Raw genomic sequence first — 13,315 nt, 5'->3', positions numbered from 1 at the left:
TGTTAGAAGGAAAACTAACAAACAAAAAGGACATCCACACCAAAACCCCATCTGTACGTCACCATCATCAAAGACCAATGGTAGATAAAACCACAAAGATGGGGAAAAAACAGAGCAGAAAAGCTGAAAATTCTAAAAATCAGAGTGCCTGTCTTCCTCCAAAGGAACGCAGCTCCTCAGCAGCGATGGAACAAAGCTGGACGGAGAATGACTTTGACGAACTGAGAGAAGAAGGCTTCAGGCAATCAAACTTCTCCTAGCTAAAGGAGGAAGTTTGAACCCATCGCAAAGAAGTTAAAAACCTTGAAAAAAGATTAGATGAATGGCTAACTAGAATAACCAATGTAGAGAAGTCCTTAAATGACCTGATGGAGCTGAAAACCGTAGCACGAGAACTACATGATGAATGCACAAGATTCAGTAGCTGATGCGATCACCTGGAAGAAAGGGTATCAGTGATTGAAGATCAAATGAATGAAATGAAGCGAGAAGAGAAGTTTAGAGAAAAAAGAATAAAAAGAAATGAACAAAGCCTCCAAGAAATATAGGACTATGTGAAAAGACCAAATCTACGTCTGATTGGTGTACCTGAAAGTGACGGGGAGAATGGAACCAAGTTGGAAAACACTCTGCAGGATATTATCCAGGAGAACTTCCCCAACCTAGCAAGGCAGGCCAACATTTAAATTCAGGAAATACAGAGAATGACACAAAGATACTCCTCGAGAAGAGCAACTCCAAGACACGTAATTGTCAGATTCACCAAAGTTGAAATGAAGGAAAAAATGTTAAAGGCAGCCAGAGAAAAAGGTCGGGTTACCCACAAAGGGAATTCCGCCCATCAGACTAACAGCTGATCTCTCGGCAGAAACTCTACAAGCCAGAAGAGAGTGCATGCCAATATTCAACATTCTTAAAGAAAAGAATTTTCAACCCAGAATTTCATATCCAGCCAAACTAAGCTTCATAAGTGAAGGAGAAATAAAATCCTTTACAGACAAGCAAATGCTGAGAGATTTTGTCACCACCAGGCCTGCCCTACAAGACCTCCTGAAGGAAGCACTAAACATGGAAAGGAACAACTGGTACCAGCCACTGCAAAAATATGCCAAATTGTAAAGACCATCAAGGCTAGGAAGAAACTGCATCAACTAATGAGCAAAATAACTAGCTAACATCATAATGACAGGATCAAATTCACACATAACAATATTAACCTTAAATGCAAATGGGCTAAATGCTCCAATTAAAAGACACAGACTGGCAAATTGGATAAAGAGTCAAGACCCATCAGTGTGCTGTATTCAGGAAACCCATCTCATGGGGAGAGACACACAAAGGCTCAAAATAAAGGGATGGAGGAAGATCTACCAAGCAAATGGAAAACAAAAAAAGGCAGGGGTTGCAATCCTAGTCTCTGATAAAACAGACGTTAAACCAACAAAGATCAAAAGAGACAAAGAAGGCCATTACATAATGGTAAAGGGATCAATTCAACAAGAAGAGCTAACTATCCTAAATATATATGCACCCAATACAGGAGCACCCAGATTCATAAAGCAAGTCCTGAGTGACCTACAAAGAGACTTAGACTCCCACACAATAATAATGGGAGATTTTAACACCCCACTGTCAACATTAGACAGATGAACGAGATAGAAAGTTAACAAGGATATCCAGGAATTGAACTCAGCTCTGCACCAAGCAGACCTAATAGACATCGACAGAACTCTCCACCCCAAATCAACAGAATATACATTCTTCCCAGCACCACACCACACTTATTCCAAAATTGACCACATAGTTGTAAGTAAAGCACTCCTCAGCAAATATAAAAGAACAGAAATTATAACAAACTGTCTCTCAGACCACAGTGCTCAGGATTAAGAAACTCACTCAAAACCACTCAACTACATGGAAACTGTACAACCTGCTTCTGAATGACTACTGGGTACATAACAAAATGAAGGCAGAAATAAAGATGTTCTTTGAAACCAACGAGAACAAAGACACAACATACCAGAATCTCTGGGACACATTTAAAGCAGTGTGTGGGGGGAAATTTATAGCACTAAATGCCCACAAGAGAAAGCAGGAAAGATCTAAAATTGACACCCTAACATCACAATTAAAACAACTAGAGAAGCAAGAGCAAGCACATTCAAAAGCTAGCAGAAGGCAAGAAATAACTAAGATCAGAGCAGAACTGAAGGAGATAGAAACACAAAAAAGCCTTCAAAAAATCAATGAATCCAGGAGCTGGTTTTTTGAAAAGATCAACAAAATTGATAGACAACTAGCAAGACTAATAAAGAAGAAAAGAGAGAAGAATCAAATAGACACAATAAAAAATGATAAAGGGGATATCACCACTGATACCACAGAAATACAAACTACCATCAGAAAATACTATAACCACCACTATGCAAATAAACTAGGAAATCTAGAAGAAATGGATAAATTCCTTGACACATACACCCTCCCATGACTAAACCAGGAAGAAGTTGAATCTCTGAATAGACCAATAAGAGACTCTGAAATTGAGGCAATAATTAATAGCCTACCAAACAAAAAAAGTCCAGGACCAGACGGATTCACAGCCGAATTCTACCAGAGATACAAGGAGGAGCTGGTACCATTCCTTCTGAAACGATTCCAATCAATAGAAAAAGAGGGAATCCTCCCTAACTCATTTTATGAGGCCAGCATCATCCTGATACCAAAGCCTGGCAGAGACACAACAAAAAAAGAGAATTTTAGACCAATATGCCAGATGAACATCGATGTAAAAATCCTCGATAAAATACTGGCAAACTGAATCCAGCAGCACATCAAAAAGCTTATCCACCATGATCAAGTGCGCTTCATCCCTGGGATGCAAGGCTGGTTCAACATACAAAAATCAATAAATGTAATCCAGCATATAAACAGAAGCAAAGACAAAAACCACATGATTATCTCAATAGATGCAGAAAAGGCCTTTGACAAAATTCAACAGCCCTTCATGCTAAAAACTCTCAAAAAATTAGGTATTGATGGGACGTATCTCAAAATAATAAGAGCTATTTATGACAAACCCACAGCCAATATCATACTGAATGGGCAAAAACTGGAAGCATTCCCTTAGAAAACTGGCACAAGACAGGGATGCCCTCTCTCACCACTCCTATTCAACATAGTGTTGGAAGTTCTGGCCAGGGCAATCAGGCAGGAGATGGAAGTAAAGGGTATTCAATTAGGAAAGGAGGGAGTCAAATTGTCCCTGTTTGCAGATAACATGATTGTATATCTAGAAAACCCCATTGTCTCAGCCCAAAATCTCTTTAAGCTGATAAGCAACTTCAGCAAACTCTCAGGATACAAAATCAATGAGCAAAAATCATTCTTATACACCAATAACAAACAGAGAGCCAAATCATGAGTGAACGCTCATTCACAATTGCTTCAAAGAGAATAAAATACCTAGGAATCCAACTTACAAGGGATGTGAAGGAGCACTCTCTTCAAGGAGAACTAGAAACCACTGCTCAACGAAATAAAAGAGGATACAAACAAATGGAAGAACATTCCATGTTCATGGGTAAGAAGAATCAATATTGTGAAAATGGCCATACTGCCCAAGGTAATTTATAGATTCAATGCCATCCCCATCAAGCTACCAATGACTTCCTTCACGGAATGGGAAAAAACTGCTTTAAAGTTCATATGGAATCAAAAAAGAGCCCGCATTGCCAAGACAATCCTAAGCCAAAAGAACAAAGCTGGAGGCATCACGCTACCTGACTTCAAACTATACTACAAGGCTACAGCAACCAAAACAGCATGGTACTGCTACCAAAACAGAGATATAGAACAGAACCCTCAGAAATAATACCACACATCTACAACCATCTGATCTTTGACAAACCTGACAAAAACAAGAAATGGGGAAAGGATTCTCTATTTAATAAATGGTGCTGGGAAAACTGGCTAGCCATATGGAGAAAGCTGAAACTGCATCCCTTCCTTACACCTTATACAAAAATTAATTCAAGGTGGATTAAAGACTTAAATGTTAGACCTAAAGCCATAAAAACCCTAGAAGAAAACCTAGGCAATACCATTCAGGACGTAGGCATGGGCAAGGACTTCATGTCTAAAACACCAAAAGCAATGGCAACAAAAGCCAAAATTGACAAATGGGATCTAATTAAACTAAAGAGCTTCTGCACAGCAAAAAAACTACCATCAGAGTGAACAGGCAACCTACAGAATGGGAGAAAACTTTTGCAATCTACTCATCTGACAAAGGGCTAATATCCAGAATCTACAATGAACTCAAACACATTTACAAGAAAAAAACAAACAACCCCTTCAAAAAGTGGGCGAAGGATATGAACAGACACTTCTCAAAAGAAGACATTTATGCAGCCAAAAGACAGATGAAAAAATGCTCATCTTCACTGGCCATCAGAGAAATGCAAATCAAAACCACAATGAGATACCATCTCACACCAGTTAGAATGGCAATCATTAAAAAGTCAGGAAACAACAGGTGCTAGAGAGGATGTGGAGAAATAGGAACACTTTTACACTGCTGGTGGGACTGTAAACTAGTGCAACCATTGTGGAAGTCAGTGTGGCGACTCCTCAGGCATCTAGAACTAGAAATACCATTTGACCCAGCCATCCCACTACTGGGTATATACCCAAAGGACTATAAATCATGCTGCTATAAAGACACATGCACACGTATGTTTATTGTGGCACTATTCACATAGCAAAGACTTGGAACCAACCCAAATGTCCACCAATGATAGACTGGATTAAGAAAATGTGGCACATATACAGGATGGAATACTATGCAGCCATAAAAAAGGATGAGTTCATGTCCTTTGTAGGGACATGGATGAAGCTGGAAACCATTATTCTCAGCAAACTATCACAAGGACAAAAAAACCAGACACTGCATGTTCTCACTCATAGGTGGGAATTGAACAATGAGAACACTTGGACACAGGAAGGGGAACATCACACACCGGGGCCTGTTGTGGGGTGGGGGGAGGGGGGAGGGATAGCATTAGGAGATATACCTAATATAAATGACAAGTTAATGGGTGCAGCACACCAACATGGCACATGTATACATATGTAACAAACCTGCACGTTATACACATGTACCCTAGAACTTAAAGTATAATAAAATATATATATATAAAAATAAATAAAAATAAAATTGTAAGTTCAGTGAGGGTAATTAATTACCATGTGTCATGCTGTTACCATACCGTTTATAGTTCTTGTTTTGGATCTGGAACACAGGAGGCACTCCAAATATACATATTCAATTGTATTAAATTGAAATATAATATATATGATGAATTAGTCATCAAGCATTAATGTTATTCTGTCAGACTGCTAGTTATCTATCCAATATCCATTCTCCTTCTTTTCATGAGAGATAGAACCTCCATAATTTGTGGGTACGACAATGTGTTCTAACCCCATATCAAGAACTATGAAAGATGCTGTAAAAGGGATATGGTAATTAATTACCCAATAAGACTACATTTCCAGTAAAGGATTCTTCTTGTTCATGGAGCACGGAACAATAGAAGAGGGTGGTCTTAGGTCACGTCATGCAGACAATAAGCAGTGAAGGAAGTTGGAGAAGGGAAGAACTTCTGTAACTGTGATGTTAATGTATTTCTTGCAGCTAGCGGTGATCACGTGATGTGGTTTGGCTGTGTCCCCACCCAGATCTCATCTTGAATTGTAGCTCCCATAATCCCCACATGCAACTGGAGGCACCCAGTGGAAGGTAATTGAATCATGCGGGTGGGTTTTCCCGTGCTGTTCTCATGACAGTGAATAAGTCTCATGAGATCTGATGGTTTTATAAAGGGCAGTTCCCCTGCACACGCTCTCTTGCCTGCCGCTGTGTAACACGTGGCTTTGTTTCTCTTGCACCTTCTGCCATGGTTGTGTGGCCTTCCCAGCCATGTGGAACTGTGAGTCCATTAAGCCTCTTTTTCTTTATAAATTACCCAGTCTCAGATATGTCTTTATAGCACCATGAGAACAAACTAATATATCACGTAGCTAGATTCTGGCCATTGGGAGATAAGCAGAACCGCTGTATGAAATTTCCAGGGAAGCCTTCTAAATGGAGCTGACTCAACTGAAAACTGTGTGAGTTTCCCTTTCCCTTTTCCTTTTTGTGGTTTCCAGGATCCCAGACAAGATGCCGGAGCAGCAGCAGCCAGCTTGAGGATAGAGGCTCTGTGCTAAGAATGGTAAATCAGGGAGATGGAAGGTGTCTTGATTCTGGATCTCTTTGTAGTGCTGCCCTACCAGCCCTGGACTGCTCATTTCTGGATTTCTACATGAGAAAATAGAACTTTCACTGGGGCCTGTTGGGGGAGGGTGGGGTGTGAGCATCAAGACAAATAGCTGAAGCATTCTGGGCTTAACACCTAGGTGATGGGTTGATAAGTGCAGCAAAACACCGTAGCACACGTTTACCAATGTCACAAACTAGCACATCCTGCACATGCACCCCAGAACTTAAAATAAAATAAAATAACTTTGTGTGTTTTCTTTCAGGTTTTAAAAAAAATTTATGTAGCAGAATATAATCCTAGCTGAAACATACAAATTAACACTTGCAAAAGAACAGAGGAAAAGTACCATCTAAAATAAATGCAAATATTCTTTCAGGTTTTTTTTAAAGGCATCTTTACTGATATGCAAGGCGTGTGTGTACTACTATCATCAGATGTATGTGGTATTACTAATATAAAATATATTCTGTTTTTATTCATTTTCTTTTTCATCATGACAAATCCTTCAGTGATGTGGGCTTTAGTTTGTCTTCCCATGCAAGGACGATTTTCCTGTAAATTAGAGCAAAAAGAAAAAAGCCTTGTAAATCATCTCTCTCGCTTAACTTGCCCATTGTCCTCCTCTGCAGGAAACCTACAGGTTGCAGAAGAAAATGGCTGGTGGAAATGCAGCAGGAAGAATAACATGGTTCTGAAACCAGGTAAGAATCAGTGAAATTAGTGTAACAGCAGATCTTACCAGCTTTTTTTTTTTTTTCTACTTCACAAACTTAAAATTGGGGAAACTGTTGAGAGGAGTCTTTGTTTTAAATGAGTGCAAGACAAGGACATATCTTTCTAAGGATCACATTAAATGAGGTGGAAAGAGAAGGAGACTCGGATGATAAATCAAAAATCCCACCCCTTCTGTCTACCTCTCCCACCGCCCTCCATTACAACACATCAAGCCAACATGAGGGATTATTTTCCATTCCTAGGGTGTGGTACATTTAGAGAAAAGCCCCCCTTTAGGGCTTTGATAATTTTAGAAAGACGTTCAGAATATGGACATCAAAGTAATGTCTTGTGTTTCTCATGTTCTGCATTTTTCCCTCAAGAAGGGCCAGAATTAATGAACCAAATCCATGTTTTTGTGATAACACAAATTCCAAAGTGCAAACCAGTAGAATTTAGAAAGCAAAAAATCCCATTTTATAATAAGACAACATGATACAGACCACAGGTGGACTGTATCATGAATAGCAACAATGGAGAGGGCAGCAGTGTGTTAGCAGGAGGAAGAAATGATGACAGCAATACCTGGGAGGTCCATGTCGGGATTCCTTACTCAGGAGGCTGGCAAGGAGGTTCTGGACATTGTCTGGAAGCTTCTCTGGGCTGGGGGCTAGGAGTCTTGGTTTCTCTCCATGGGGGCCTCATCACAGGCTGCTTGGACTTCCTCTGAGCACCCAGATTGGGTCTAAGGGTCAGTGTCTAGAGAGAGCTGGCAGAAGTGCGTGGCATTCTAATGCTCTAGCCTGGGAAGTCACACGGCCCCTGGCACCCGGCTGTACAGGTCCCCTAGAGGTCTAGGGTGAGAGACAGCAGTGGCAGCATTTTCAGAGATGTCTCTGGGACTAGGGGTGGGGAGCTGGAAGGGATAGAGAGAGGGAGACTTCTAGAGACCCAAGAGATGAGGCCATTTCTACTGCACTTTGTATTAATATTTAAAGCAGTCCTGAAGGTTTGCCCTGAGTCAACAGGAGAGAGTACTGGTCCCATCCTTCTGTGGAAATAATGTTGAGGTCACGCTGTAAGAAGGGTATGTGGGATGGGACATGCTGTTGTTGCTATCTTGGGAAAATATAGACTGCTCCAGTGGGAAAAACAAATAAATTTCTATGAGGGAGAAGCATTTTTTCAGTCAGCTACTTAGCCTGGAAGCTTATTGACCACGTGTTAGCTCTTAAAACACCTGTGGAGGCCCCAGAGGGTGAGTTTTCACCCCCACCACATATGAGCATCCTGGGCTGTCCAGAAGTCACTGCGTTCATGAAAGTTTCAGAAATTAAGAGTCAAGCACTAATTTTCAGGCACCACTCCTTTCAATAAACACTCCGTAGCTCATTTTGCATTTACGAAGAATTAGGTTGTTTGGGGGAGACTGCTGTCTCCTATACCCTGTCCACTGAGAGGCAGGCATCCCAAATTCAGGTTTCCATGGCAATGGGCTTCCACGTCAGTGCCTCCCTGTCAGGGCTAATCTCCGGCCTGGTGGGGAGTAGGTGATGTGTGCTAGGATCAGGCCTCTGGACAGCCATTGTCACTCCTCCTGCCACAGTGACATACATTCTTACCGTAGTAAATAACAGTAACCTAAGTTTTCCTAGCCTGTGAGAATAAATGAGGTCACATTAACAGCAATAAATCACATTTCGATTGTCAATACCTTCACCCAGCGTACAGATAACACGAATGTTATCTCACCTATGTCTAACAATCAGTTGCCTTTTTATTTTTCACTCCAGGCTGTCCTGGTTGACGTTTCCTGCCCATAAGGCCATCGAAAGGTGGGCATCTCCTCACGTGGCTGCTGCTAGTGACGGACCTAGTATGGCCCTGGGAGTTAAAGCGGTGCTGTGGCCTCTGCAGTCCTCAGCACTCCTTCTGGCACTACAGGCATGCTGTGTTTACAGCAGAGATGGAGAGGTTTTCTGCCCTATCTCCACCCTGCCCAGCCCCTAGCTCTGGGCTTTAGTTTGTTATCTGGGTACCAGAGAGCATAGCTTGAGCCCCTGCGTCTCACAGAGTCCCTTATGACAACAGCCTCCTCAGACTCTGCAAACAACCTCTCTCTCCACAGGGCTCAGATGAGAATCCAGGGAAACCAACTTCTTAAAAATAGATGCCAGTAGGCTGCCTACCCTGCCAAGTCATTGGACATTTCCAGACATGCCTGATTCCCAGCAGAGAACACAAATTAGGCTCTCGAATCCCTGCTACATTACTAAACGTGCATAGCACGCCCTAATGCTTTCCCCTGAATCAACTCTGTTCGGTAGGTAGGACAGATGATAGTATTATAGTTTCCATCTTTCATACAGAGAAATTAATTCTTAGTGAGAAAAAGCTAGAAGCCTGAAGTGAGATAATAATTAAGATTCTGATTGATCACATGAATGGAGGGCTTTGAATAGCAAATCTGGCACTCTCCTGGGGTACTTCACGGTAACAGGTCACCAAGCTTGGCCCAGATGCTCTAGACAGAGGCATTTTCCTCTCTGTGCTCATGGCATGTTGGTTTGTTGCAGAGTTTGCTGTATTTTGTGACACCACTTTAAACGTCAGTCTTCTCCACTAAACATCTCTCATGCCAGCAAAGTGCCTGGCATGGAGAAGGGACCTGATAAACATTTATCGGTGGTATGAATATGAATTTTTAAAAAAAATCTCTTAATGTTTCTCTAATGAAGGTGGAATCCTCCCACCCCAGAGAACATTTGGAAGTGGAGGAGCATTTTTCGTTGTCACAATACCAAGGAGTGATGCTCCAAGCCTTTTATAACCGGGGCCAGGGATACGGGATATCTTGCAATCTGTCAGACAGTCCTGCACAAAGAAGTGCTCTGTCCAAAATGCCAATCGCTCCTCCTTTGAGAATAACTACAAGGAAGTCCAAATGTTAGGAAAGTCCCAAGCACTCCTAAGCCTTCGAGTCTAGCCTAGGAATAACTTAGCTATCTGTGACCTTGCTATTTGAGTTTTGAGACAAAATAGGGGTTATGCTATATACCCACCTCATGCTATGGTTTAATGAGAACATATGTAAGAGGCCTAACAGAGTGGTTGCATGTGGCAGGAAGACAAGTGATTTGAGCTCCTTTTCCCCTTACTTCAGGTAATAGGAACAATCATTTGTCTATGTATCAGTTTGGCCTATGGTTTAATTCAACTGAAAGATATTTTGAAAGCAGGCCTAGTGTTCTACGATCTGCCCTTGGAAATATAAAAAGTAGTATGGTAGTATATTTCCCAATTGTTATGAGGATTCGAGTTTCTAAAGATCAGTGCCTGGCACTGAGTAGTCTCTTTATAAATAGTTGACTTGATGATAGGTGGCAGAAATCGAAGAAAAGCAGTGCTCTTGCTTAAATATTAAGGTAGCATAAAATCAAATCATATTCTCCCTCTTTAGCAAAATTGAGTGAGATTTCTTTAGTAAGTTCTGCTTATCCACTATTTCCTGCAAATTAAACAGACTTCCCACAGAAGACAACAATTCTTGACTTCACTCTGTTCCCACCATTGCAGAGTAATGCATGCTTGGGGCAAAAACACATATGACTCACCTGTTTTATAGTGTCTCTTCGTACCCTTTCAATTCCCACTGGTGAACGAATTTACTTTCTACCTGCTTCTTATTAGAGAAAATATGTCATAGAAACATTACAAAATGTTGATAAGAATAGAAAACCATAATCCTAACCCTATTGCAACTGTTTAAAAAATTGCCTTCCAATGCTTTTCTATAAGAATGTCTTTTTGCTGGGCGCGGAGGCTCACGCCTATAATCCCAGCACTTTGGGAGGCCGAGGCGGGTGGATCACGAGGTCAGGAGTTCAAGACCAGTCTGGCCAAGATGGTGAAACCCCGTCTCTACTAAAAATACAAAAATTAGCCGGGCATGGTGGTGGGCGCCTGTAATCCCAGCTACTCGGGAGGCTGAGGCAGGAGAATTGCTTGAACCCAGGAGACAGAGGTTGCAGTGAGCCGAGATCGTGCCATTGTACTCCAGCCTCTGTGACACAGCGAGACTCTGTCGCAAAAAAAAAAAAAAAGTCTATTTATGGAGTAGCTATCATAATGCACATACTATTTTGATTTCTACTATATCCAATTTGTATTATATATTTTCCACGTTTCCACGTAATTGTAATGTTTAATGACTGCAAAATATTCCATTGCTTTAATATGCCATCCCATCTTGTTGGATATTGAGATTGTTCTTACTAGGTAGGGCAGCAATAAATATTTTTTTTACAAACAATTTTTAGCACTGCTTCAATATTTCATAGAATAAATCTCTAGTACTTTAAATACAGAGTCAAAGCAGAATGAATATTATGACTCTTGTTCTGTATTTTCTTACACATTTCCAAAAAGGCGATACCAATTTCCAATGCCAATAGAAGTATATAAGAATCCAGTTGCACTGCAGCCTTGAAGCATATAATTATTTTTTAAAAATTAGCAGGTTTAAAATAATACCAGTGAACCTTACTTTATATTTATTTGATTATTATCAAGCATAATTATTTTCCATATGCTTTATTTTCTCTTCATATTTCCTTCCGTGAATGTTTACATAATCCAACTTCTCCCTAACCAGAATCGAATATAGTAGAAGAAAAAGAATACTGGGTTAGTTTTGGGGCTTCTAGCAGCATGGTCTTCTAACTTAATCTCTTTTTGCCCAACACACCTCATCTGTGTCTGAAGGAAGTTGGCTAATCGCTGATTCTTTCTAGCTCTAAACTTAAATTATTCTAAATACCCTACATGAAACAGGCCAAACTTAACCATATACAGTATTACAAAGTATCATATCTGTAATTGGCATAGGTAAATATCTAGAGTTTAAAACTTGGGCAGGTGGAATTCTTAATAGATTTCAGGGAATCTCATAATTTCTGAGAAGTATGTGAAGGTTAATAGAGAAACTCTTAATTCATTTATTCAACAGGTATTTAGAGAGGACCTATAATGTACTGGCCTCCATAACAGACGCTTGGCATGCAAAGATAAAGCAGATATAGTTGTAGGGGAGCTTTGGTCAAATGCAAGAGATGGATGGACAGGAGAATTACAAGGAAGTGTGGTAGGGGCTACAGTGAGCAGCACGGGGAGCAGTTGCTTAAGAGGGCTTCACAGAAAAGGGGCTTTGAACCAGGACTTGAAAAATGAGTAAGATTTTGCCAAGAAGAGGCTAGAGGAGTGAGTAGAGGTAGAGAGGAAAGTCTTGGCCTGCAGGGAAGGGCATGTGAAACGCATGAATCTATGCAAAACAACTTACTAATAATAGTGAGAAGTTAGTTTTCTGGGATATATGGTGCATTGTGCAGAAATAGAGCTGGACAGTAAATGGGGGTTAGATTTTATGCCAAGCAAAGGAGTCTGTTTTTTATCTTCTGGGAAGCTTGGATGCTTGGATATAGCCGGAAGCCAGGGGAGATTTCTAAGCAAGGGAGCGATATGGCTAGTTTTTTTTTTTTTTTTTTTTTTTTTTTTTTTTTTTTTAAGATCACTTCTGGAAATCCACAAGTGCCATTAGAATTTACTCATCTCAAAGCTTGGATTAATTGTGCGAACTTGGGGGCTCTGTTTTGAGGCCTTAACCATTTTCATTCAATACATGGTTGAGTGTTCTTCTTCTATTTGCCTATGACTATCAGGCATCTGAAAAGCTGGGAAACAGAAGATGAATTTATTTTTAAACAGTATTTAGCTATATTTTCAAATAATATGCAGAATCTTTTCCTTCAAACTCCAGACATCTATTCAGATGAAGCACTTCTATATTTAAAACAATGGGTTCAGTTGTGGATTTGTCAAAAAAGTGTAAGGAATGTGTGTCCCAGGTTGGATAATAAATTACACGGTCATGTTATCTAATCTGGAATGCCACAGATCTTGTGGCAGAGGGAAAGAGACCATGGTAGAGCTATGTATGGCTCATAGCTTCTGTTCAGACAAAGCATACATCAATTCCACTCATATTTCATTGGGCAAAGCAAGTCACACACTCGAGATCAACATGCCCCCTCCTGAGGGGAAAATGAAAGTCACATGGACCAGCAACCTATATATAGAGTCTGTATGCTTATGCAATATATACAGTAGTATCTACATCTAGATGTCCATCTCAATTATTAAGAAAGGTTTTTTTAAATTATACTTTAAGTTCTAGGGTACATGTGCACAAAGTGCAGGTTTGTTACATATGTATACATGTG

The 13,315-nt window shown here is 40.5% G+C and overlaps 2 long non-coding RNA genes across 2 annotated transcripts in view, besides 1 other annotated feature; one reads left to right on the top strand and one right to left on the bottom strand.

The window, feature by feature from the left end:
* Positions 1–13,315, bottom strand: part of LOC105375951 (uncharacterized) — a 261,361-nt gene that overhangs the window by 26,414 nt on the left and 221,632 nt on the right. The window lies entirely within an intron of this gene.
* On the top strand, positions 5,905–11,349 carry LOC105375952 (uncharacterized). Its single transcript, XR_929422.3, has 3 exons — positions 5,905–6,171; positions 6,953–7,024; positions 8,831–11,349. It is a non-coding gene; the product is annotated as an uncharacterized LOC105375952 (long non-coding RNA).
* Positions 6,358–7,557: an enhancer, noted in NCBI's record as "CDK7 strongly-dependent group 2 enhancer chr9:1928727-1929926 (GRCh37/hg19 assembly coordinates)". NCBI's record gives its function as "activates an origin of replication core promoter dependent on BRD2, BRD4, P300/CBP, MED14 and CDK7 cofactors, with strong dependence on CDK7, by STARR-seq in HCT116 cells {active_cell/tissue: HCT116}" and the evidence as "EXISTENCE:reporter gene assay evidence [ECO:0000049][PMID:35650434]".

The sequence above is a fragment of the Homo sapiens genome, chromosome 9, assembly GCF_000001405.40.
Source record: "Homo sapiens chromosome 9, GRCh38.p14 Primary Assembly".
NCBI classification, from domain to species: Eukaryota; Metazoa; Chordata; class Mammalia; order Primates; family Hominidae; genus Homo; species Homo sapiens.
The sequence above is the reverse complement of the archived record's forward strand: the minus strand, read 5'-3'. Positions and strand labels throughout refer to the sequence as shown.